This window comes from Homo sapiens, chromosome 11 (assembly GCF_000001405.40).
Source record: "Homo sapiens chromosome 11, GRCh38.p14 Primary Assembly".
NCBI lineage: Eukaryota > Metazoa > Chordata > Mammalia > Primates > Hominidae > Homo > Homo sapiens.
The window spans coordinates 125,974,234-125,998,159 of NC_000011.10; the positions used below are offsets into that span (position 1 = coordinate 125,974,234).

Consider the following 23,926-nt stretch of genomic DNA (forward strand, 5'->3'; position numbering starts at 1 on the left):
TAAACTCTAAGCTCCACGCAGGCAGGAGCAATGCCTGTTATGCTCACTGCCATATCCCCAGTACCTAGTTTGGTGCTTGGCTCACTAGAGACCTGCAGCAAACATTTGTAGGTAGGTAGGTAGGTAGGTAGGTAGGAAGGAAGGAAGGAAGGAAGGAAGGGAGGGAGGGAGGGAGGGAGGGAGGGAGGGAGGGAGGGAATTCTTTTTTTCTTTTTTACTCTCCTTATTTTATCATTCTCCTTTTCCCATCTCTGTTATTCTCTGAAGATGTATTAAGGCAGTAAGAAAAAATAACAAAAGATATGATGTCTTATAAAAAGAATGTCTAATCACTTTAAATACATAATAAAAGCAAATAAATGCATCAAATAATTAAATATATAAAAATAATCAATCTGCCAAGGATATTGTCTCCTTTGGTGTCTCATCTGTTTTTAAGTTCTATTACTTGGATAGAACTTAAAATGGTCCTAAATCTGTATCACAGTTCCATTCTACCCCCTGAAGCCAAGACCAGCATTTTCATCTTTCTCCTTAAGATATCAACTCATACTTCAACTCTAAAACCAAATTTATCACCTTTTTATGATGTATCATTTTATTAAGTTTCTTATTACTATGACTACCACCCAGATCATCCATGTTTGAAACTTCTTACACATCTGGAATCTTCTGTTTTTCTAGATCCCTGTCAGTCAATGGCCAAGTCCTGAAGACTCCATGTCTGCAGTCTCACTCATCCCTTCCTCTTCATCCCCATTCCCCATGTCTCACTGATCCCCTCCCTCCCTTCCCTCCTGTGCACTGCCATCTTTCATCCAGCCTGAGCATATCTCTGAACAGATCATTCCTGTTCTCAATAAGCTTTGCAACAATTATGATGCTGCTACCCCAGTGTTTCTCAACATTTAACGCATATCCCCTTTTGATTAATATAAAAATTGCATACCCTTGTATACATAGACATTACAGACATAGAGATTTTTTTCTATTCTTTAAATATAAAATTATAAAACTCAACGTGCTTCTTCAAACTCTACTCACTATATCCCTACCTCTGTCTGAGAATCACTATTGTTAGACTATGGACTCTCTGAAGGCAGGGCCTAGGCCAGTACCCAGTACATGACAGGCACTCAATAAAAGGCCTTGTTTATTAAATAAACTTGCTTATTTAATAAATAATATTTAATAGGACTATTATTAAGTAATAGGACTTGTTTATTAAATAAACTACTAAACCTTCACATTCAGGGTTATCCACTATATAAACTCAGTCCAGTTGTCCAATTTCAATATCCTACTATTCTCTAGTTGCACTTCACAGCCGATCAAATTATTCCAGCGGTTCTCAAAGCATGGTCCCAGGACCATGGGCATCAGTACCATCTGCGAACTCATTAGAAATGCAAATTCTCAGGCCCCACCCTAGACCTGCTGAATGGGAAACTCTGGTCTAAGAATAGGAGTGGGAGTAGAGCCTAGTAATGTGCGTTTTTATTAAGTGTTTCAAGTGATGCACGCTAAAGTTTGAGAACCACTGAAGTCGCCTATTCATTCTTATGTAAACATTATCCTTTCTACGTCCATGACTGTTCTTACATTCCTTCTACGGGGAAACACCTCAGAACCTAGTCCAGAGCCTGGGTAGTGCTCAGTAAATGTTTGTTTTGTTTTGTTTGACTGAACAGCCAAAAATCATATGAGGCCCACTTGATAGCCCTCATATAACTTAACTGAAATCACGCTTCTTTTTATGTTTACACTATTTCAGCTGATATTCAGAAATGCAAACTCATTCATAGTAACAATGTCGATATTCTAAAAGCATAAATTGACTATAATTTTCTATATTTTGAGAGTAAACCACGTATCATCTACCTTTCGGCATTCACAGCTTTTTACAAATTTTGTCATTTGTAAGATCTTAAGAGGAGATACCTGTTCTCAATTCCAAAGTGAAAAGACTTAAAATCTTTAAATTTAATAATTCAAATTTTCTAGAGCTGAAGGTAGGTACTTATTGATACTTATCTGTCCAATTATTGAGTGTCAAAATCATACAGTTGCTCCTGGGAGCCAGGTGAGACACTGGCTAACCTTGAAGGCAATGCAGGCAAGTAAAGACTTGCACTAAACAGGCAGATTCTCATGAGGAAGAAAATTGAAACCAGGAAGAAAAAGAATCTGGTGTTCCAAGCTGAAGAGAATTCACCTAAATTCCCAGATAACAGTAAAACCCACACACATGAAATGTAGTAAGTCATTAACTTGAAAATTAATAGAAATACAATTGTTCATTGTCTTAAAGGAAAAAAAAACTGTATAATAAAAACTTGAAAATACTAAAATACTACATACACACACATGCACACACACACACAAACACACACACACACACACACTACACATACAAATAGCCACAAAGCCAAGGTCATTTAAATGGCAGAGGTCATATAAGTCCTTCTAAGGAAATGGGATGCATTCTTGATATTAAGATGATACTTCATCAAAAAGACATGATTGGCAGGAAATTGCCAGAGACTACCGTCAGATTATGTTGGGAGCAATCTTACATTACCTAGGACAATTTTCCCCTTTTTAGTTAAGGAAATAGCTTCAGAAACATTACGTTACTTTCGCAAGATCACAGGTTTAAGCTATGTCACAGCCCAGGTCTACTTATTCTTAGACCAGAGATCCTGTCGTTATACCATTCTATTGTCCAGGAGAACCAAGATCTGCTGATGACCAAGAACCACAAAAGAAAACACGTTAAAATTTTAAGCAAGACCACTTGTAACTAAATCCGTCTGATTACTCGCCAGGTACATGAACCACCTTTACCAGGTCTTTAGCACGTTGCCTAACAAACTACGGTAAAGTCCATGAAAAGCTCAAGACAAAAATGTGGTTTCAATGTTATGAACATTTGCAAAACCAGGGTCATATAGAATTTAAATACGTAACAAGCAAACCTTAGTACATAAAAGAAGCAGATGGCTCTTTTATAGACACCCTGAAATGGGTTAAGTAAATGATAACAAACAATCTCCAAGAAGCTCTGTTGCTTTTGTTCTGCAACTCTCAAAACACAGGCTGGAACAACGTATTTTTAATTTGATGGTTGGCCTGATCCTTCTTCAAGTTCTGGTTTCAATAACTCCCAGAGACAACTCTTAACCTGTTAATCCATTTTAAATATATAGGTCAAACATCATTTCAATAATAAAATATCTAAACTCCCACCCATACTCCAGTTATTTTATGTACTAACTATGACATAATCTTTTTGGTTGTAGAGTTTTAGGACTGAGAAGGAAGGACTTTTGACACCATGTAATTCAATAACATCATTATGTAAAAGAAAGAACTAAGATTTCTGAAACAACTTTAATACAACAAAAAGCTTGGTAATCCTTGGGATTACCATAGAGAGAGGTCGTAGGAAAGTGTGCCGAGTATCCTATGTGTTAAATGCACATTGCTCTCCATATTTCTATCTTGTTTGAAATATTGTGAGTACATACCACTTTTAAAATTAAAACACAAAATTCAAAGCAAGGGTTTGCTGCTTAATTTTCTTAAGATTTTAAGAATTAAAAAAAAACACTGGATAATCTGGTAGGAAAATTTCAGTAACATTACTGTGAAAAAAATTACTATATACAGAGGGTTCCCCCCTCCCCCCAACACTCAGAAACACTGTCATTCATCCTCATAACATCCCATAACATAGAGTAGAAAATAAAAGGTGAGAAAAGATAAAGTCTTTATAACAGAGAATGACTCTAATTTAAAATTTTCAAAAACATTAAGCCTTATAATAATATTTCAGTGACAAATAGAGCCTTTAAGATGGTTTCTATATAGCTGAAGAAACCGAGGCACAAAAAGACAAAAATTGGAAAGCAGAGGCAAAAAATTAGTAACAGCTTTAAATTTAAGATTGCAAATCCTGAACTTTATATCCTAGGTAAAATTCCAAGAACTTTCTTTGCTGAAGGGAAAAATAAAAGGATGCATATGCCTTATTCACAACAGCTTGTGCAGACACATTATTAACATACCTATTGTTGTTTCGACAATTTCGGCAGTTAACACACTCCAGAGGGTCAATCTGAGGCACGGCCGTGTACATTCCACCACCCTGGACAGGAAGGAGTGTCAGAGAAAAAGAAAAGAAGAAGGAATGCTGAAGGTACTCACAGACCAGTAGCCAAATAATCACAAATACACATGAGCCATGTCAACCATAAATGGGCACACAGTATATTCTAACCAACTCCCAGAGCAACGTCATTGTGAATATCACTGACCCATATTCACAAAGGAGTGAATGAGAGTTCTGCATTAGATTTAACTGTATTCCAAAAACTTCACTGCCATGTTTTCCTACGTATTTCTGTACTAGACAAAGGTAAATAAATGAAGGGAAAAGTTTAGTCACTTCCCTTCAAATCTAGTGGGCTCAAAATACATTATATGTTATAGCCTCCATTCATTTTCCCTTTCTTGGCAGTCAGGGAAGAATTTCATGTGATACCAGTTGGAGAAACAGGGTGTAAAACCTGTGTAGATGATGTCACATGATAAACTCATCTTCATTTTCCTGTAATTATTTCAATTAGGTCTGTTCACTTGACAACGCTAAGTTTTAAAGCATGCTATATTTTTCCAGATGGAGTAGATCTTCAGCCAGCAATGACTTGGAGGGGGTGTGTTAATATTTGGATGTTGCTTTTGGCGGAAACTGCCCAGCAATTAAGAAAAATGCCCAGATTAACACATACCTCATTGTAAAATGTTCACTTGACAGACAGCAAGGTTCTTCAAAAATGAAGTTAAAAATTAAACTAGCCTGATAGTCAGAGGCAGAATTCTGCTTTCAGAAGAAAAACAGCAGAACTGAATTTGATAAAAGGTGGGAGAGGCTGTCACACTGCACCCAAACCCAAAGCAGGCCTTCAAGGTTAGGAAAAGTTCAGGCAATTGTTTTTCCTAGAATACTTTCCATTTCCATTCATTTCATAACAGTAGCCAGAATCTAAGCAAACCAAAAGTCCTGAAAATTTCCTTCAGTGTTTCTGATCCAACCAGCAACAGGAATTATTAAGAACATATCGAGAGAAAGAACTCTCCTATACTATATTCCATCTGAGGGAAAACCTGAAAGGCTCAGAAAATGAAGTTCACAACCTGCAGGGTAACGTTGTGACTTACGGATTCTCTGAATCCCTCAACACGTTGAAGTTAGTGCAATGATTTTTAGGGTCACTAACACTGTTAAAATTTCTCTATTTCCCCCACCCAGAAAAGTAAGAAAACGAATAATTTAGAATCACAGATAACTTCTGACATTGTACACCAAATGGGGCACCTATTATTTAAATAGAAATTCATTGTTCAAAAAACCCAAGGTTCCGTGTTCAAACACTAAAGCGAACATGGGCCTTATGTTTTCTTCTTATGGAAACAGTGTGTGCTATTCAAATGTTAATGCTCTCTCCTTCAGTTTTCTTGGACAATGGTAGTAGTTTGGACTAGGAATGGTGACCAAAAAAGCTTAGAAAGTCTGAATACATGCTGTATCTTTCCACACAAAATAGTGAAATCATGATTCTCTTTTAGTAATGAGATGCATTAAAGCAAATTAATATTTCTTCCACAACATACAAAAGCTAGGTCACATAAAAGCTATTCAATTTCTAGCTTTAAAATATGAGTATATATTAGTTTTGTTCTCCAAATAGATTTTAATAAATCTTTAATAAACTGAAGATGGGGGGAAAAAAAACTCTAAGCTTCTTCAAATTGTAGCACATTGTGGGTCATGGTAAATTTATTTGTAATCAGAACAATGACAAAAACTGAATGCTTAATTCCATCAATTAAACAAATTATCTATTTGATCAAAAGTAATATAGATGTGCATCCAAACAATGTCATAAATCAAACTTTCTAGTGCAGAGAACCCCACGTAAGTCTAAAATATGCTAGTCATTCTACTACCATTTCAAAAATTAAACGCTATCAACTAGTTATCTCTGAAATAAGGTTGTCTTAAGGGTTTATCACTCTTTGTGTGGCTAAAGAATACTAACATTGTAAAATGTAAAAAGCTTACCAGCCACAACAACAAAACATATTGGGCAAAACAAACAAAAGAAGCCCATGAAAGGTCAGAAGTCACAACCCGGTGGCCTGCAGAGATGTTTGGCATGGCCTACGTATGTTTTCAAAAATTTGAATTAGGTGCCAGCATGTAAAAATCTGTCAATTTCACTTGGATTTACAGAGGTTTTGAAAAATCAGAAAATTTGGCAACACTGCGCCCTCAGTCCATGACGACTGTAAGTGTCAAACCGCGGCTGCTTCCTGAAGACACTGTCTGTGCTCTCCAGGTGGCCATCGCCTCCAGTGCTACCATCTCACTCCCACAATTTCCTGATCTGCCTGACTCTTTTCGGCATTTGCATTTTCAAGACCCTGCTCTCGATAAATCAAATTTAAAGTATTTGGTATTTCCATTTCATCTAAAGAACAACTTCCAGTCTGTTCACTGCTGGTATTCCACTTTCAGTGTTAAATAATTTTAAAATGAAACTAAACTGATGAACATAACTATTACCTGGCAATAGAAAACAACTTACAAAGACTACTCTGGATCAAAGGGCTGCCAGTGATCCATGCTGTTTCCATTCGAGGAAACTTGTGAGGTTTCTATACTGAACAAAGCCAAGCATGCTGTCCCTGTTCTAGTACTTGGCACCCTGAGGGACAGAGGGGCTTTTATTTATAGTTAGGTCTCTTACATTCACTAGATGATGAGGATGTTCAAAATCCACGTGTGTCCTGGTTAGAGAGTTGCTGTGCCCGGAGTAAAGCCCTCCATTTAGGCTCCCATTCACAATTCCATTGACTGCATTGGGGACCTTATGGTGAAGGTGGGAATAGCCACTGCTGAGACCGCCATTGGTTAGGAAGCCTCCGTGAACATTTCCATTTATCTGACTTGCTCCTGAGAGAGTGGTGTAGTCCACCATCTGCCCGTTCATATCTGATCCTTGGTAGAGATATCCTGGTGGGTCATATTCTGTTAAAAGAGAACAAAAAAGACACACACGCACACACACACACGCACGCACACATGCACATACGCACACACGCATGCACACATGCACATACGCACACACGCACACACGCACACAGTAAGACACTAAAAAGGACAATCTTCTTGCTGAGAAGGTCTTACAGATAAAACCCCTACGAAACTACAAATAGACTAAAATAAAAACATTTTTAAAATGTTCACTTAAAGCCTACTTGTAAGACATGCTTTAATAAAGTTACTGCTATTATTTTCCATAGAGTGTAGAGATAGCTGTGAACTCTGAGTTAATTATGATTCTGTTAACGGGAAGAAAAATCACCTAGGGAGAAATTACTCAAAAGAGAATGAATATATTGGGCAAGCTGAAACTATCAGAGTACTGGCAATACTAGGAAAAAGTGCTTAAACTCCTATATATTATACTTCTAAGTGCTGAAAAAAACTGCATAAAATGACAACAAAAGACTAGCTTTAGGTGGGGTATTTCAAGTAGCAATAAACAACTCTGTTAAGTAAAAGGATGGAGTTGTATATACAGTCACTGATCATTCATATAGCTCCTTAGTCATTACAGCCAATTTGGAAGGTGTGGAGTACCAAAGGCAAAAAGTGATTCTATTTTCTTTTTTTTTTTTTTTTTTTTTTTTTTTTTTGAGATGGAGTTTCGCTCTTGTTGCCCAGGCTGGAGTGCAATGGCGTGATCTTGGCTCACTGCAACCTCTGCCTCCCGGGTTCAAGCAATTCTCCTGCTTCAACCTCCCAAGTAGCTTGTGCGTGCCACCACATCCGGCTAATTCTTTGTATTTTTAGTAGAGACAGGGTTTCACCGTGCTAGCCAGGTTGGTTTCGATCTCCTGACCTCGTGATCCGCCCACCTCGGCTTCCCAAAGTGCTATGATTACAGGCGTGAGCCACTCCGCCCAGCCTTCTATTTTCTTCTATTAAAAGCATACAAATGACTGCCTCAAAACTGATTTCCAGAGGCACATCTACCAGATATATTTAGAAAAAGTAAAGTATCTCTTAGAAACTAGAGTGTCCAAACTGTACAGGATTTGTTGTTGGAGTCTGGATAAATTCTTCGAAGGTAGGAGAGCTTGCCAAGGCTGGATTAGGTGTCCCTCCTTTCCTTAGCTGCCCACATTACTGTGTGCTCTCGCCCAGGTGTGTAGTCTCAGTACACCTGCTTGTGGTCTCACTAAGCTACACACTTTGAGAGGGCAGAGGTGGTGTTTATTTTATTTACCATTACATCTCCACTGTCCAGAACAGTGCCTGGTATACAGAAGACGATGATTATCTTTTGAATAAATGACTGAATGAACACCACCATGAGAATTTTCCATTTTTAAACATTATCAGGTCACAAAGTAGGATGACTTTAATCTGATTAATATGGCTGGGACGACCAGATTAATGTTCTCTTTTAATGATTCAACACGCACTCACACAATTAAAGGCAATGGCATTAAAACCATTTAGAAAATCAAATGATCACCATCCCTTTCAGATTAATACTTCTCTTTTCATGATTCAACACGCACTCACACAATTAAAGGCGATGGCATTAAAACCACTTAGAAAATCAAATGATCACCATCCATTTCAGCCTGATGCAGCCACCATCTCTCCCCCTATCTCTTGGAAGGCATCATTCAATACAAACAGAGTACTTTCTTCCCCCAGAACTGGTAACTAAAAGGGGAGCATGCGTGAGAACTGGCTAACAGCCACTGGAAGTGCCTGCTGGGGTCCTCCCTCACTTTTCTTTCATTTCCTTATTCTGGAGCCAAAGGGGAAACCAAAAAACTTCCTCCCACCAAAGACTAAACTCTCTGCTTGATTTGATTACCCTATTTTATAATAGCTGAGATAACAGGAAAAGTAGGACAGTGAGGTGAAGAGAACTGAAGGAAGAGAAAAGAGAAAGGGGGTTCTAGGTTACTTCACTGTTATTTCAAAGCAGGGCCATCATCGATGTTCAAGCACACGTATTCCTAGACACACTCCAGGGAGAGGACGCCATGCTGGAGCAGTCTTGAGTCCATCAGGTACAGAAACAGGGCTGCGTTATCCTCATCGGTGAAGTGTCATTCAGTGACAGTGACTTAGACAAGTTTTCACTACCTGCTTTCCATCATGGCTTTTCTATTCCCTGTTGACAAGCTCTGTACCAGTGTAAAGGTGTTCCTACAGCAATTCCAGAGCTCAGGCTTCAAATATGCGTCCTCTTTGGTGGTCCAACAAAGCCGGAGTTTCCCAGCAATAAGTCAGCTATTTACTTAGAGACCTGCTTAGTTTTGGCTTTGGTGTTTATGTCTGCTGGGCAATTTAATTTGATGCTCCACTTACTCTGGCTGACAGCTAGAACAGTTTTAAAGTCATCTCCTCTGAATGAAGAGTATCTAATGTGTTTCATACCATGACACTAATATACAACAGTGTTAGAAATCAATATTTATTCTGACAATATTTGTCTACCCACCTTTAGAAAAAGAGAAGGAGATATTTATGAGTGACTTACTTTGTATGGTATTCTGCTGGCGATTCTTCCACAGGCACATTGCAATGAAAACCATCAGAATGAGGACCATGACGCCCAGCACACAGCCAACGATCAGATATAACATGTCACTGCTTCTGGCAGGGCTGGTTGCAGGCCCCACATTTCCTCCACTTCCCAAAGAATTTGGAGGGGTACTCAAGTCTTTGACAGGATATTCAGAAGCTCCAGGAACACGTTTCACTAGTTGAAATATAAAGGAAAACATGATGTCAGAGTGAATACAGACTCCATGAAATGGTTTACTCTCTGAAGGAGGTCTGGTTAGGAATGCAAGCCAGTCTGTTTACTCTTGTTACTGAGATGACCTGACCACCAATGAGTCACAAAGAGGGCTCCAAAGTTTAAAAACTTGATGTGCCAAAGTTTTAGTCCACAAACTTTAGAGAAATCCTAAAGGCAAAGGAACATATGCACTTGGTCTAATCCAAACTGCTATATGATTATCTGCTTAACTGTACTTGGAGAAAACTCCCAGAGTTGAAATAAAAGTGTTTCCACTTAGGCCGGGCGTGGTGGCTCACGCCTGTAATCCCAGCACTTTGGGAGGCCGAGGTGAGCAGACTGTCTGAGCTCAGGAGTTTGCGAACGGCCTGAGCAACACAGGGAAACCCCGTGTCTACTAAAAATACAAAAATTAGCTGGGCGTGGCGGTGGGTGCCTGTAATCCCAGCTACTGGGGAGGCTGAGGCAGGAGAATTGCTTGAAGCCGGGAGAAGGAGGTTGCAGTGAGCCCAGATCACGCCACTGCACTTCAACCTGGAAGACAGAGTGAGATTCTGTCTCAAAAAAAAAAAAAAAAAAGTATTTCTACTTATGGATGGAACAAAAACTCCTTTCTGTCAGATACACTTTGAGCTAAACAAGACTCAGGATTACATATTTTATGCTTCTACCATGTATATAAAATTCACTACCAATATTAGAAGTTATAGCTTTGGACTACTAGAAAAATGACATTCCAAAACCTCACACATAGTATTAAGCATTCCAAAAACAAAGACTTTGGAGCCCGTGTAGGTGCAGTACTTTTACCCGGTTCATCGGTGTTCTGGGTAATAGCGATAACGAAAGCTAGTAACAGGTGGGACTCAAACCTCATTCTCTCATTCCCAAATCATATGTTCTTAAGTCTCTAAATGTCACAGAAAAGCAGTAGAGCAAAGTGGTTGGTGCCAGTCTCTGGAAGCACACAGCCTATGTTTACACCTCACCTCCACTTATCATTAGCTGTATGATTTTTACCTCCAAAACCTCAGTTTTTATTTATTTTTTATTTTTTGAGACAAAGTCTCACCCTGTCGCCCAGGCTGGAGTGCAATGGTGTGATCTCAGCTCATTGCAGCCCCGTCTCCCAGGTTCCAGCGATTCTCCTGCCTCAGCCTCCCAGGTAGCTGGGATTACACACATGTGCCCCCACGCACGGATAATTTTTTTGATATTTTTAGTACAGACAGGGTCTCAACATATTGGCCAGGCTGGTCTCAAACTCCTGATGACCTCAAGTGATCCGCCCGCCTTGGCCTCTCAAAGTGCTAGGATTACAGGCGTAAGCCACCGTGCCTAGCTAGTTTTTACATTTTGAAATGGGGATATTAGTAAGAGCTCTGTCAATTATCTAGTGGTAATGAAGGGTAAATGAGTTAAGCCATGGAAAGCACTTAGAGCCTGGCTCAGAGTGGTGGTCAATCAATTCTGCTGTTATTATTGCTTATTATACCGAATCTCCTGTTATGGTGCCAACAAACCACAGAAGCAAAGCAGCTTTTTAAAAATCTACTCAGTTGAACAGACACATGAAAAAATGCTCATCATCTCTGGTCATCAAAGAAATGCAAATCAAAACCACAATGAGATACCATCTCACACCAGTTAGAATGGCGATCATTAAAAAGTCAGCAAACAACAGGTGCTGGAGAGGATGTGGAGAAATAGGAATGCTTTTACACTGTTGGTGGAAGTGTAAACTAGTTCAACCATTCTGGAAGACAGTGTGGCGATTACTCAAGGATCTAGAAATAGAAATACCATTTGACCCAGCAATCCCATTACTGGGTATATACCCAAAGGATTATAAATCATTCTACTATAAAGACACATGCACACGTATGTTTAGTGCGGCACTATTCACAATAGCAAAGACTTGGAACTGACCCAAATGTCCACTAATGATAGACTGGATTAAGAAAATGTGGCACATATACACCATGGAATACTATGCAGCCATGAAAAGGATGAGTTCATGTCCTTCGTAGCGACATGGATGAAGCTGGAAACCATCATTCTGAGCAAAACCAAACACTGCATGTTCTCACTCATAGGTGGGAATTGAACAATGAGAACCCTCGGACACAGGGCGGGGAACATCACACACTGGGGCCTGTCATGGGGGGAGGGGATGTGGGAGGGGTAGCATTAGGAATGATGAGTTAATGGGTATAGCAAACCAACACGGCACATGTATATGTATGTAACAAACCTGCACGTTGTGCACATGTACCCTAGAACTTAAAAGTATAATTTAAAAAAAAGAGGAAAAACCAGGAAAGAAAATTAAAAATAAAAATCTACTTGGCTGGGTGCAGTGGCTCACGCCTGTAGTCCCAGCACTTTGGGAGGCGGAGCTGGGCGGATAACGAGGTCAGGAGATCGAGACCATCCTGGCTAACACGGTGAAACCCCATCTCTACTAAAAATACAAAAAATTAGCCAGGCTTGGTGGCATGTGCCTGTAGTCCCAGCTACTTGGGAGGCTGAGGCAGGAGAATAACTTGAACCTGGGAGGCAGAGATTGCAGTGAGCCAAGATCACACCACTGCACTCCAGCCCTGGGCGACAGAGTGAGACTCCATCTCAAAAAAAAAAAAAATCTATTCAACAAACATTAACTTGGGGTTCAATTTTCTAGCAGCATCAACCACACAAAACAGAGCTGGGAATGAGAAAAGAAGTCATCTTTCAAGAGAAAAGAAGTCATCTTTCAAGAGAAGGTGTTTTCTCTTATTGAAAGCTGGATGAACACTTGGCAGAGATGCTAAAGGAAATTTCTACTTGAGGTGGTATGTTAGATTATACAATTCTATGTCCTGGTCAACCCTAAAGAAAACAAAAGAGTTTCTGAGGCACAATGGATATTCCGTATCATATATTAAAGATCATGATTACTCCTAGGGAAGTCCATCAGGTTTAATCACTCTTTCTTTATTCTTAATTCATTTGTAATTCTACCAAGCTTCATGATCTGGTTTCCAACCCCTTGCTAAAGTTAAAAACTGAGGACAGATGGCTTGCACTGAAGGGTGAGTGAGATCCATTAACACTGATAGGAAGAGACAGCTAACAGCCTGAAAAAAGAAAGGTGAGATGAAAAACATAAAGAGAAGCCAAAGAACTAAAAGAAACATCACAGCAGTCTCTGATCTTCGGTGGGAAGGGAAAACGGCCAGGCTTCAGCGCCTCTGTCATCCCTGAAAACCTTCCTCAATTACTCAAGATAAAACCGTCATTGTTCACAAGAACCTACAGTCATTTTTTAAAGGTTGAAGTACACATGAGATCTTCCATGTAAACAGGCTGGGAATTATGTAATATGTAATTACGTAAAAGTCATTCAATATGAATAGTTAACATTTCAAAGATGTTTTTTGTTTTCCACTGACCTGAAAGTCTGTAGGTAGAACCTTTTCATTCCCTACTGATGTCAGAAAATGAGGTATACTATTGTAATCACAGCTATACTATTATACTATTATAAATAACAGTTATAATGTTTTATGTTTTGTCTGGCTAGATTCTTAAATGTCCTGGGGACAGAGATGATAAATTTCATTTTTATTTAACTTTACTCCAAGTATCCCATGAACACATCACAGCGTCTGGTCCAAAAAGGCACTCAAATATATGCTAAACAAATGAAATTCAAGGTAAGTCTAAAGGTATATGGATATATGTTTAAATATGGGCTTAAGATGTGAGTATTGCAGCAGAAACACACATGGTTTAGAGTTTAAAAGCTGGAACTAAGCCTTGGCTTATCATTCAATCTTTTGGAGCCTCCATTTCCTCATTTTTTAAAAACGTACTTTTTCATGTCCTCATTTTTAAAAAGGAATAATAAGATCACCTGTAGAGACCCTGATGGCTGCCCAGCTCACTCAACAGCCTTCTTTATCATGTTACGAGAGCTCCAATTTTGTTTGGGTGTCTACCTCAACCCCACAGAACTCTGGGATAAATCTGGTCAATGGTTTAGGGGCTGTGTGGGGCTGAATTGTGGCTAATGAGACTGGTGGGAAGATCTAGTAGAGGACGTTGGGGGAAATTTTCCTTGTTCCTGAAAATAGACACGGTCAGATATGATAACACTTTAAAGGTGATGCCCAGAACTGTGGCGAGCTATCAGCAGTGCTAGTCTTAGAGCCAAGGTGGCAATGGGAACATGACGAACAGGAAAGACAGAAAAAAATGAATTTTTTTTTCTTTTGAGACAAGGTCTCACTCTCTCGCCCAGACTGGAGTGCAGTGGCCCGATCTTGGCTCACTGCAACCTCTACCTTCCAGGCTCAAGCGATTCTCCTGTCTCAGCCTCCTGAACTAACAACGTTGGAGTTAGTTACCTACTTCTGGGCTGCTTATTTTGGGGATAACACATTTCCTCACTGTTGAAGCCTACTGAGAGGAGATTGTCGTGTTCCTTGCAGTTGACAGTATTCTCAAAGTTGTTGTGAAGATTAACTGAGACTGTGGACGAGTGGTTTTGCTCGTAAACATCTAATGAGCTATTTCTATTGTTCCCCTGTGGTGTCTTCTCTTCTTAAAGACGGCAACATTTGACAGTGAATCTACCTATGTAGGCAGAGTTGAGAATGTTCAATTTAGAATCAGCAACTGCTAATTCTAAACTTTACTACACTTAATTAAACAAGTAGATAGAAGTTACATATCTGTCATTCAAGAAACCACCTTTAACATATGTTGCACTTCTCCTTAATATTCTTAAACTTTTGTTAGTATTCTCATTCTCACAGCAATCTAGAAAGTAGTCAACAAATATTTCTAATATCTTTGTAAAGAAAAACGGAAGGGTTCATGACCAGCCTGGGCAACACAGTGAGATGCCGTCTCTAAAAAAAATAAAATAAAATAAAAATAAAGAAAAGGGAAGGGAGGTGATTTACTTAGAGTCACACAGAAACTAATGAACAGGATTAATGATTATGTAAACTATTTTTTAAACAAGCATTCTAGCCCACATATTATACATTTGTTGGGACAGTCTAAGTGTATGCACCTAGAAAATGGTCCAAAGCAGAAACTTCCTTAGGCAAATACATCAATAGTCATGTCCAGGCACGGTGGCTCACGCCTGTAATCCTAGCACTTTGGGAAGCCCAGGTGGGTACATCACCTGAGGCCAGGAGTTCGAGACCAGCTTGGCCAACATGGTGAAACCCCATCTCTACTAAAATTACAAAAATTAGCCAGGCGTGGTGGTGCGCACCTGCAGCCCCAGCTACTTGGGAGGCTGAGTCATGAGAATCACTTGAACCCAGGAGGTGGAGGTTGCAGCGAGTTGAGATTGTACCACTGCACTCCAGCCTGGGTGACAGAGTGAGACCGTGTCTCAAAACAAGACAAAACAAAACCCAGAATATATCAGTAGTCAGAAGCAGTAATCCAGGGTTGGAATTCTATCACTGTCCAGGGAAAAGCAAAAATTCTCCTACCTTTAGTCTCGCAGATCATCACATTGCTAAATTCACTTTCTCCTCCTTCATTGAAGCATTGCATTTTAATGTCATAGGAGGTTTCTGGCTGCAGGTGGCCAATCATGTGCCACTGCTTTGAACCTAAAAGGAAAAATAAAAGGCTTTACACATCATACAGCCTAAATGATAATGTCAATATAATTAGTTAATGTTTTCAGGATGAGGCTGGAGCAGCATCCACTACCATCCAGTAGTTTGTGCAATAAAAATGTACTTAATAGTAAGTATTTGACTAATGCACCACAGATAAACAGCATTTCTATTACACGGCATGAAAAAAAGGTAAAGAGAGGAGATAAACTGACCTAAAACTATATCTGTGTGTTGGCAATAATACTTGTTTCACTAAAAATAATTAGTGGGAGTCTTTCATAAAATACATGTTAATTTCATGCATAGGAAAGAAAGCCCAAGTCCTTTCATCCCTATCTTAACCCAGCAAGTCAATCCATGTTCCCCCACCAAAAAGCAACAGGACATTTGGGACCAGCAAAAGGTACACTACCCAGAGCAACTGACCAGTTACAAGAATGGCCTTAGCAAAGCTCCCAATTCCACTGTCATGGATGCAACGTGAACTGACATATGACCGAATGCCTGAATAAACTGCTGAGGATCACCAAAAAGCAAAATCTACTCTGGGAAACTCTTGGCCACCACCCCCACTCCTGCTTTTCTTTTGAGTCAAGATCTCCAAACCACACAAGTATCTCTAGCAGAATGATTCTGTTATCCGTGGCACACAGCCAACATTTCATTTAGAAACACTCCTAAACTGAACACTCCAGTAGAAATCACTCTTCATGTTGACTTCCATGGACCTGTGACAATCTTTCATAAGCAGGGACACTTTTGCCAGATTAAATTAACTCTTCAAGCACCCTTAATCCCTTGTGGAAACATCTCTTCAGACTGTCTCCACTGTTTCTTAGGAACTCAAGTATACCCCCAACTGATTTAAGAATTAATTAAAGGGGGAGAAAAAAAGCAAAACAAAACCACACATGCAAGTTAAATCTACTTGGCTGAACAGGACCAATATCGCCAGACTCCTTTCTAACTGAACACAGACAAAAATATTTCAATCTGAAAGTACAAGCCTCTTTTCAGGTCAACAGTACAAAACCCTTCACTTGTACAGACCCGCGTTTTTTAAGGAAGAAAATCTGCTTGTTTTAGGATCGTCTCTGAAAGGCTCAAAAGTGAGGAGTTCTACGCCCCATTTATAAATGTAAAAAGGACCCCCCAAAAGATGTTGACTCCAAAACTGGTTGAAAATGGAATAGATCTGTCTCTGAAATCCAAAGGCTTTCCAAAAAACTTCTTTTTTTGTAGTCTTGGGTCTTTCCCAACCCAGCCCTACACTCACCTACACTATAAATATTCTCTTGAATAATTACTACACTAGATTTGAAGTTTTCCTTTCATAGCGTTCATAAAAATGGCATTAAACTAGGCTTCTGATATGTTACTAAGAAGAGAAAAATAGTTAAAATGATACATATCTTGTTAGATTAATATTCCATTGTTATAGTTATTCTTCCACTGGCTAAAATTATAGGAAATATCAGCAAAGAGAAATAATTTTACTGATCATTGATGAATAAGACAACTAAGTACATCATTAGGTTTAAAACTGACCAACCAGCATGTATCCTTTGATTAATAGGCAATTATTTTCCCAAAGGATATTTTAGAAAAGGTAAGGCTTTACCTCAGAGAGAAACCAAAACACAGACTTAAAGATCAGAATGACTGATATTTTACTTGGAATTGACTTAACTTTAGAAGATAAAAATATTCAACACCAAAACACAGGTGTGCTGGAAACATTTATAGTTTATCTAAATGTGGAACCTAATTCAGAAAATAGGATAGCTTAATTGTCCTTCTCTTACTGTACTCTTTTACAATTTGACTTTTAATTTTATTTTCAAAAGTTTAAATTTTGGGTCAATTCACAAGTCATCTAAAACTTAAAAAAAAAAAACTTTAAGTACAAAGGATGAATACTTCTGTTCCTGTGATTTGGAGAACAGACCAATAGTTTCCAACTGCTACAAAAAGAATTTCAAATGCATAAACTTGAAAATATAGAATAAGCAAATTACACAGCATAGTGAAGTCCACTTAAACATCTAACTGCTCAGTATGTTACATTTATAAACAAGTGCTCTGTGAACCTAAGGCAAAACTCACATTTGCAGACACTACTACTAGATATAAAAGCTTCTTAATTTCCAACTTCCATGCTCAATATGCATATTACAGAATTTTGTAAAAGCTCAAAGATTTGACTAGAGAATATAGTTGGAAAACTGTTTATTAGTGGATATTTCTAGAACATAGAACCAAGAAGGGTGATGATGATGAGAGAGAGAAAAACAGAGAGACAAAGACAGATACTCATTTTATTTACATGTCTTGTTTAGAACCATTTTATGGCAAATATTTAGCCTCTGTCAAAAAATTCTTAAAATAAAATTCTGACGTCCCCACTGCCCTAAACCCAGTGAAATAAAAGGAAGACCTAGACAGGCCCCAAATGGAGGACAATCACTATTAGGTTGGTGCAAAAGTAACTGCGGTCTTTGTCATTAAAAGTAATGGCAAAGACCGCAATTACTTTTTACTTTTGCACCAACCTAAATATTATCCTTCCATTTCTTTTTAAAAATAGGCTTTTTACTGGCATAAAGTATGCATACAGAAAAGTCTACATAACTGTACAGCTCAATGAATGTTCACAAGCTGGACATGCTCATGGTACCCATATCTAAGTCAACAAAGAGAACACAGGAAAGCCCCCCACCTCAAACATCCCCTTATGCCCCTTCCAGGCTCTGCTTTCCCATGAGACAGCTACTATCGTGAGTCCTAAGAGCACAGAATAGTTTTGGCACTAAAAGTTATGGCAGAAAAGAAACAATCATTCCCTCATTCAAAAAATATTTATTGAGCACCTACTATGTGCTGAGCATTAAAAATTGGATCATAAATTTCTCATTATATTACAAAAGTCATTCCACTGGATAAATATGAAAAGGACTGCTACAGTATTTTAAGAAATGTGATACAGCATAATGTAATTTATTATAACACAAACTATATGCAGTATTTCATGTCAAGAAGTCATATGGAAAATAACCTTGGCCTATGGCAATTTTCTGACATAATTCACTAGGACATTTCTTATTTCAAAGAATCAGAATCTTGGAGTGCAAAAAAGACCTTGGAAAAAGCCTTCCTCCCAAAGCAAGAATCCCTTCCAAGATGTCACTGAGAAGCGGGCATTCAGCTTCAATTGAGCACTTCCAACATTAGGGAGTTTACGACTTTGTGGGGGAACCTATGCTAGAAATGCTACGTCAGAAAGTTCTTTCTTACGCTGCTTTCTTGCAACTTCCCCTCCCCCAATTGACTCAGCTCCTCTTCCACATAACAGTCCGTAAATACCTGAAGGTAGCTATCGTGTTGCTTCTGCTAGTCTTTTTCAACCTGAATATCGTTAGAGATTCCCTTGTTCTTTGTGGACTCCATTCATACATGAATTCAATACTGGCCACCTCACCACTGTAGGGGCTGGACATAGCAGTGGGAGAAAAGGTCCTATGCTCACAAGGGAGTTAACATCTAGTAGAGGAGACAGACTTTAAGCAAATAGTTTCAAACACACACACAGTCTCTGTCTCTCACACACACATGCGCGCGTGCGTGCACACACACACACACACACACACACACACAACCACGTGCTTAAACTTTGATAACTGCTATGAAATAAACATAAAGGGTATGGTTAGAAACTACAGCAAGGTACCCTCTCATGCAAATGAGAGGAAGTCACCCGAGGGGAAGTTATGGGGAAGAGTTCACTCCCTGTAACTTGACTGTCAAACATTTTGAAAAGTGGGACAATTTTTCTGTGCACACAACTAGGTAAAGGCAACAGGAACTACCCTGTGCCAAGGTCCTGAGGCAAAAACGTCTCAGTGCACACAAGGAAACTGAAGGAAGTGCCAGAAAGGGAGAGATGCAAGAGACGTGGTGTAGGCAGGGGCCAGCCAGGTCAGGTGGGGCCTTCAGGCCATAGGCAAAATTGTGGATTCTATTTAAATGCAGTAAAAAAAAGCAGTTTCAACACTCTTCACCATTTTAGCTGTTTTCTTTCTTTTCTACATGCATTCCAATTTCTCAGCATCTCTACAAGTGAGCAAGATGCTTAAGACATCATCTTTCTAGGACAGACTCCAGTGAAAATGAGTGAGATAATATTTTTTTAAAGTAGCTAGACATTATAATGGATTTTTATACTCAGGTCACTGTTCATTTAAATGAAACAGAAATCAAAATTTTCTTTCAGATGAACTACTACTGATTAATCATATTTCCCCCAAATGTTTGTACAAGTTTCTGCAACCAGAATATAAGGTGCTGCATATATTAAGCGGGAAAAGGTGGCTTTCTTTGGGACAAATTCAACAGCAATAACACATACACCATTCCATTTTGTACTGTCTTAATTTGGGATGATGCATTTTATATTCATAAACCTTCTTTCTCCAAAGCGCCTTTACAGGGACTCCAGTGTGCCAGGGGACTTACCTTCTACAACATCCCTCTTGTAATCACTGTCATTGTCACTATCTGTTGGTCGGTAATAGATATAAAATCCTTGAATGGGAGTGTTATTGTTACTTGATGGAATGTACTAAAAAACAGAAGCAAAGACTTGTCAAAGAGAAAAATTAATGTAACCTTCTCATTCATTAAGGTTTCTTTATCTACTTGGTCACATTTTTCTAGGTTCATTTTGCAAACATACTAATAATGGCCATTTTTAATTTACTTCAAAGGTATTAAAAGCATTTAGCTTATTGCGAGGTTAAACAGAAATAAGGCAGTACGTTTCCCTGGGTTCAAAAGCATAAAAGCACATTTGGTTCAAAATGAATCATGATGGCAATTAAGTTAACAACATTTGGATAAGAGCCGAGGAAACAATAATTTTCCTTTTAACCCTGCCCCTCCTCAAAATATGTGCTCTTATTTAGACAAATATTGGTGCCCTTGCACTTCCCCTCAATTAAAAGTTCAAAATTTGCTGTTTACTGTATTGTGTCATGAGAATATTAAATTGATTGTTAACATGACCAAACCACAAAATCTCATTCCAGAAGATGTGTACTGACCGTCCACTTTAGCATGATCTGAGTATCGCTGACAGCCTCTGTGTATGCAATGTGAGGTCCAGTTATTGGACGGCTGGAAAAGCGATTGGGGAACCCAACCACTTGATAAGGACGAGATGCTGAACTCCGAAAACTCTCACCATAATGGTTGATGGCAATGACCCTAAATTTGTATGTTGAACCTTTGAGGGAAAACAAAAACAAACAAACAACAACAACAAAAACATAACTAAGAAAAGCTATAATAAGACAACTAAAGGCAGAATAGTCAAAATATGGCAATTGTGCTGAAGTACCTATCTATACTAAAGTATCTAAAGCCTGTATGGTAAATAGATTTCAACCCAATTGACAATCTCAATCAACTGGGAGTGGCTGCTCCGTGCATGGTGTTCAAGATCCCAAGACCTTCTTAGGAGTCACCAAGAAAGAGCACTGCAAAAGATTAATGACATCTCAGGGAAGAAGCAGGTAGAGAATAGGAAAGAGGACATTTGCTCTTTTCACCATCCTGTTCTAAGTCATACCCATCAATGACAGTATTAGTTGAACTATCTGTCCCCAAAACTAGGTTCTTTTCACTTTAAAAGAAACAACTGAAGCACGGTTTAATACGGTGAATACACTCATAAAGAGGCACTGTGTGGGCGGCCGCAGATGTCACTCTGGTTTCACTGCTAACAGTGTAAGAGTAAGAGGGAGCAGATTTAACTACTGTGGAAGGAATTGTTTGAATTAGATATTAGGAACTTTAAAAAATGTAGAGGACTGTGAATTTCTGAAAATCGGAACCTAAAGAATAAATTAAAATCCTAAAGCAAGTTTCCTGATAGCTCAAAAATAATTACTGAGCTTCTGAAGACAGTGTTTTCAATCTATGGAATGTTTCTTAGCTTCAACCACATTTAAAACTGATGCTTCTCCCAACTATACCTACATGATCCTATGCTGCGCATGTTGCTTGTTTTGACAGCCACAGGCATTTGCTACTAACGTACATTTAAAAGTCCTGAAAAAAATTGCCATGAAACCTAAACGAATGAAAGTACAGAAAGTTTATTTATGCTTTTTGTCTTTTATGGTTTAATTTCTCTCATATAGCCTCAAGATTCTTGTGGGGAGGGGAGGGTTCCTCTGCTGAAACAAAACTTAAAGAACAAACGCGTGTTCATCACTGACTCATGTCCACAACACTAAGCACTGAGTATTACAACCGTGCTGAAATTCAGCATCAGATCAAATAATTTTTGTCAAATAACAAGCAATTTTCCTCTTATTCAGTCACAGCAAAACACACACACACACACACACACACACACACACACACACACACACAAAGATGTACACCACAGTATTTCTAACTGTAAATAAACAGAAATAATCTAAAGCCCAGAAATAAAGAATAGGTAAGTGGATTATGGTATATTTATTTATATGAAAGGTAAATCTCTACTAAAAGTTGAGTTTGTGAAGAATTTTTAATGATACTGGAAAACATATACGATAAAATATGGGGAATATTGGATAATAAAACAATATTTATGGCACGATCCTGCGGTGGCTCACGCCTGTAATCCCAGCACTTTGGGAGGCTGAGGCAGGCAGATCACCTGAGGTCAGGAGTTTGAGACCAGCCTGACTAGCATGGTGAAACCCCATCTCTACTAAAAAATACAAAAATTAGCTGGGCGTAGTGGCAGGCACCTGTAATCCCAGCTACTCGGGAGGCTGAGGCAGGAGAATCGCTTGAACATGGGAGGTGGAGGTTGCAGTGAGCCGAGATTTCGCCACTGCACTCCGGCCTAGGCGACAGAGGGAGACTCCATCTCAAAAAAAAAAAAAAAAAAAAAAAAGGCTAAGAAAAAATACAACGAAATATAAACAATGATTATCTCTGAATGGGTGAATTTTAGGTGACTTATTCTCTTCTTTATATTTTCTTTATTTTCACATTTTTATACAATAAGCGTGAATACTTTAACAATTCGAAAAAAAATATAAGACTACTAAAAATATGCATCTGCCAGGTGCTATGGCTCACGCCTGTAATCCCAGCACTTTAGTAGGAGACCGAGGGCGGCAAATTGCATGAGCCCAGGAGTTCAAGACCAGCCTGGGCAACATGGCAAAACCCTGTCTGTACAAAAAACACAAAAATTAGCCAGGCACGGTGGTGAGTGCCTGTAGTCTCAGCTACTTGGGAGGCTGAGGTAAGCCATGATTATGCCACTGCACTCCAGCCTGGGCCAACAGAGTGAGACCCTGTCTCAAAATATATAAATATATGGATCTAAAGTTCACATCGATGGTAAAAGGAAACGTTTGAATATTACTACCTGGTTCTAAACTACGAACTTCCACTGAAAGTTTGGAAGGAGGGATGTCTTCAGCTGCCACCAGCCAATTGCTGGTCCTCATCCGTTTATATTCGACTTTGAAGGCAGTGATTGGAGAACCCCCGTTTGCCCGAGGAATCCAAGTGACATAGACTGATGTCTCTGATGCAGTGGAGATGGTAGGCCGATCTGGTGCCTCTGGAACTAAACACGGAAACGTTCATTTCAATAACCCACCATGTCAGAGACAAGAATAACATAGTTAAATTAAAGGGATAAGTCCCAAACTTCATGTTATTAAAGGTTCTTCACCAAACTTTTTGCCAGAGTTTATAACATTTACAGCAGTCTTCCTGTCCTCTGTGAAAATCTAATGGGAATACAGGAAATAAAGAGAAAGTAAAATGATCTATAAATTTGATAATTAGCTCTGAAAAACTGAAAGCTAACAAGTATGATCATTTTGACCATGCTATTCAGATTCATGGCTGAAATAAAATGTAAGTATTATTTGGTGCTTCAAGTTTGATTGTGGTTAAAATTTATAATAAATCTTCATAATTATGTGTTATCTTATTTAAATGTTTTTCTTCATCTATCCAAGCTACACAAAATGCACTCAGCAATCTACTAATTCTTATACTATTACTATTCCATATTATCTTAATACACCTCAAGGCTATAGGAAGGTTACTCCAAAATACAGACTATAAGTGGCAAAGAGAGATAAAATCTGACTGATAAAATCAATACTGTTAATAAAGGGGAGAGAGAATGCTGCTCAGGATGAATACGGGAAGACAGGATATGTCATTAAACAAAAGTGCTAGCAGAAAACATGATCCACGTGAACATGTAGAAAAGGGGGTCAGGGAGCTAGGGTCTAGCAGTTTTCACTTAGCACTGCCAAGGAAAGGGAATGCCCTAACACACCAGGTAGATGGTCTAGACTC

The 23,926-nt window shown here is 38.8% G+C and overlaps 1 protein-coding gene across 14 annotated transcripts in view; it reads right to left on the bottom strand.

Annotated features, from left to right (window-relative positions):
• Window positions 1-23,926, bottom strand: part of CDON (cell adhesion associated, oncogene regulated) — a 106,515-nt gene that overhangs the window by 17,413 nt on the left and 65,176 nt on the right. For 13 of the 14 annotated variants that reach the window (XM_017017873.2, NM_001441166.1, NM_016952.6 and 10 more), the window contains exons 12-18: window positions 22,974-23,177; window positions 20,638-20,819; window positions 20,051-20,156; window positions 15,404-15,526; window positions 9,639-9,860; window positions 6,816-7,096; window positions 4,071-4,150 (exon numbers count right to left, since the gene is read on the bottom strand). In XM_017017873.2, the coding sequence (XP_016873362.1) occupies window positions 4,071-4,150; window positions 6,816-7,096; window positions 9,639-9,860; window positions 15,404-15,526; window positions 20,051-20,156; window positions 20,638-20,819; window positions 22,974-23,177 (1,198 nt within the window). Of the gene's footprint in view, window positions 1-4,070; window positions 4,151-6,815; window positions 7,097-9,638; window positions 9,861-15,403; window positions 15,527-20,050; window positions 20,157-20,637; window positions 20,820-22,973; window positions 23,178-23,926 lie in introns of those variants that run through there. The other variant, XM_047427065.1, reaches the window with a different exon arrangement.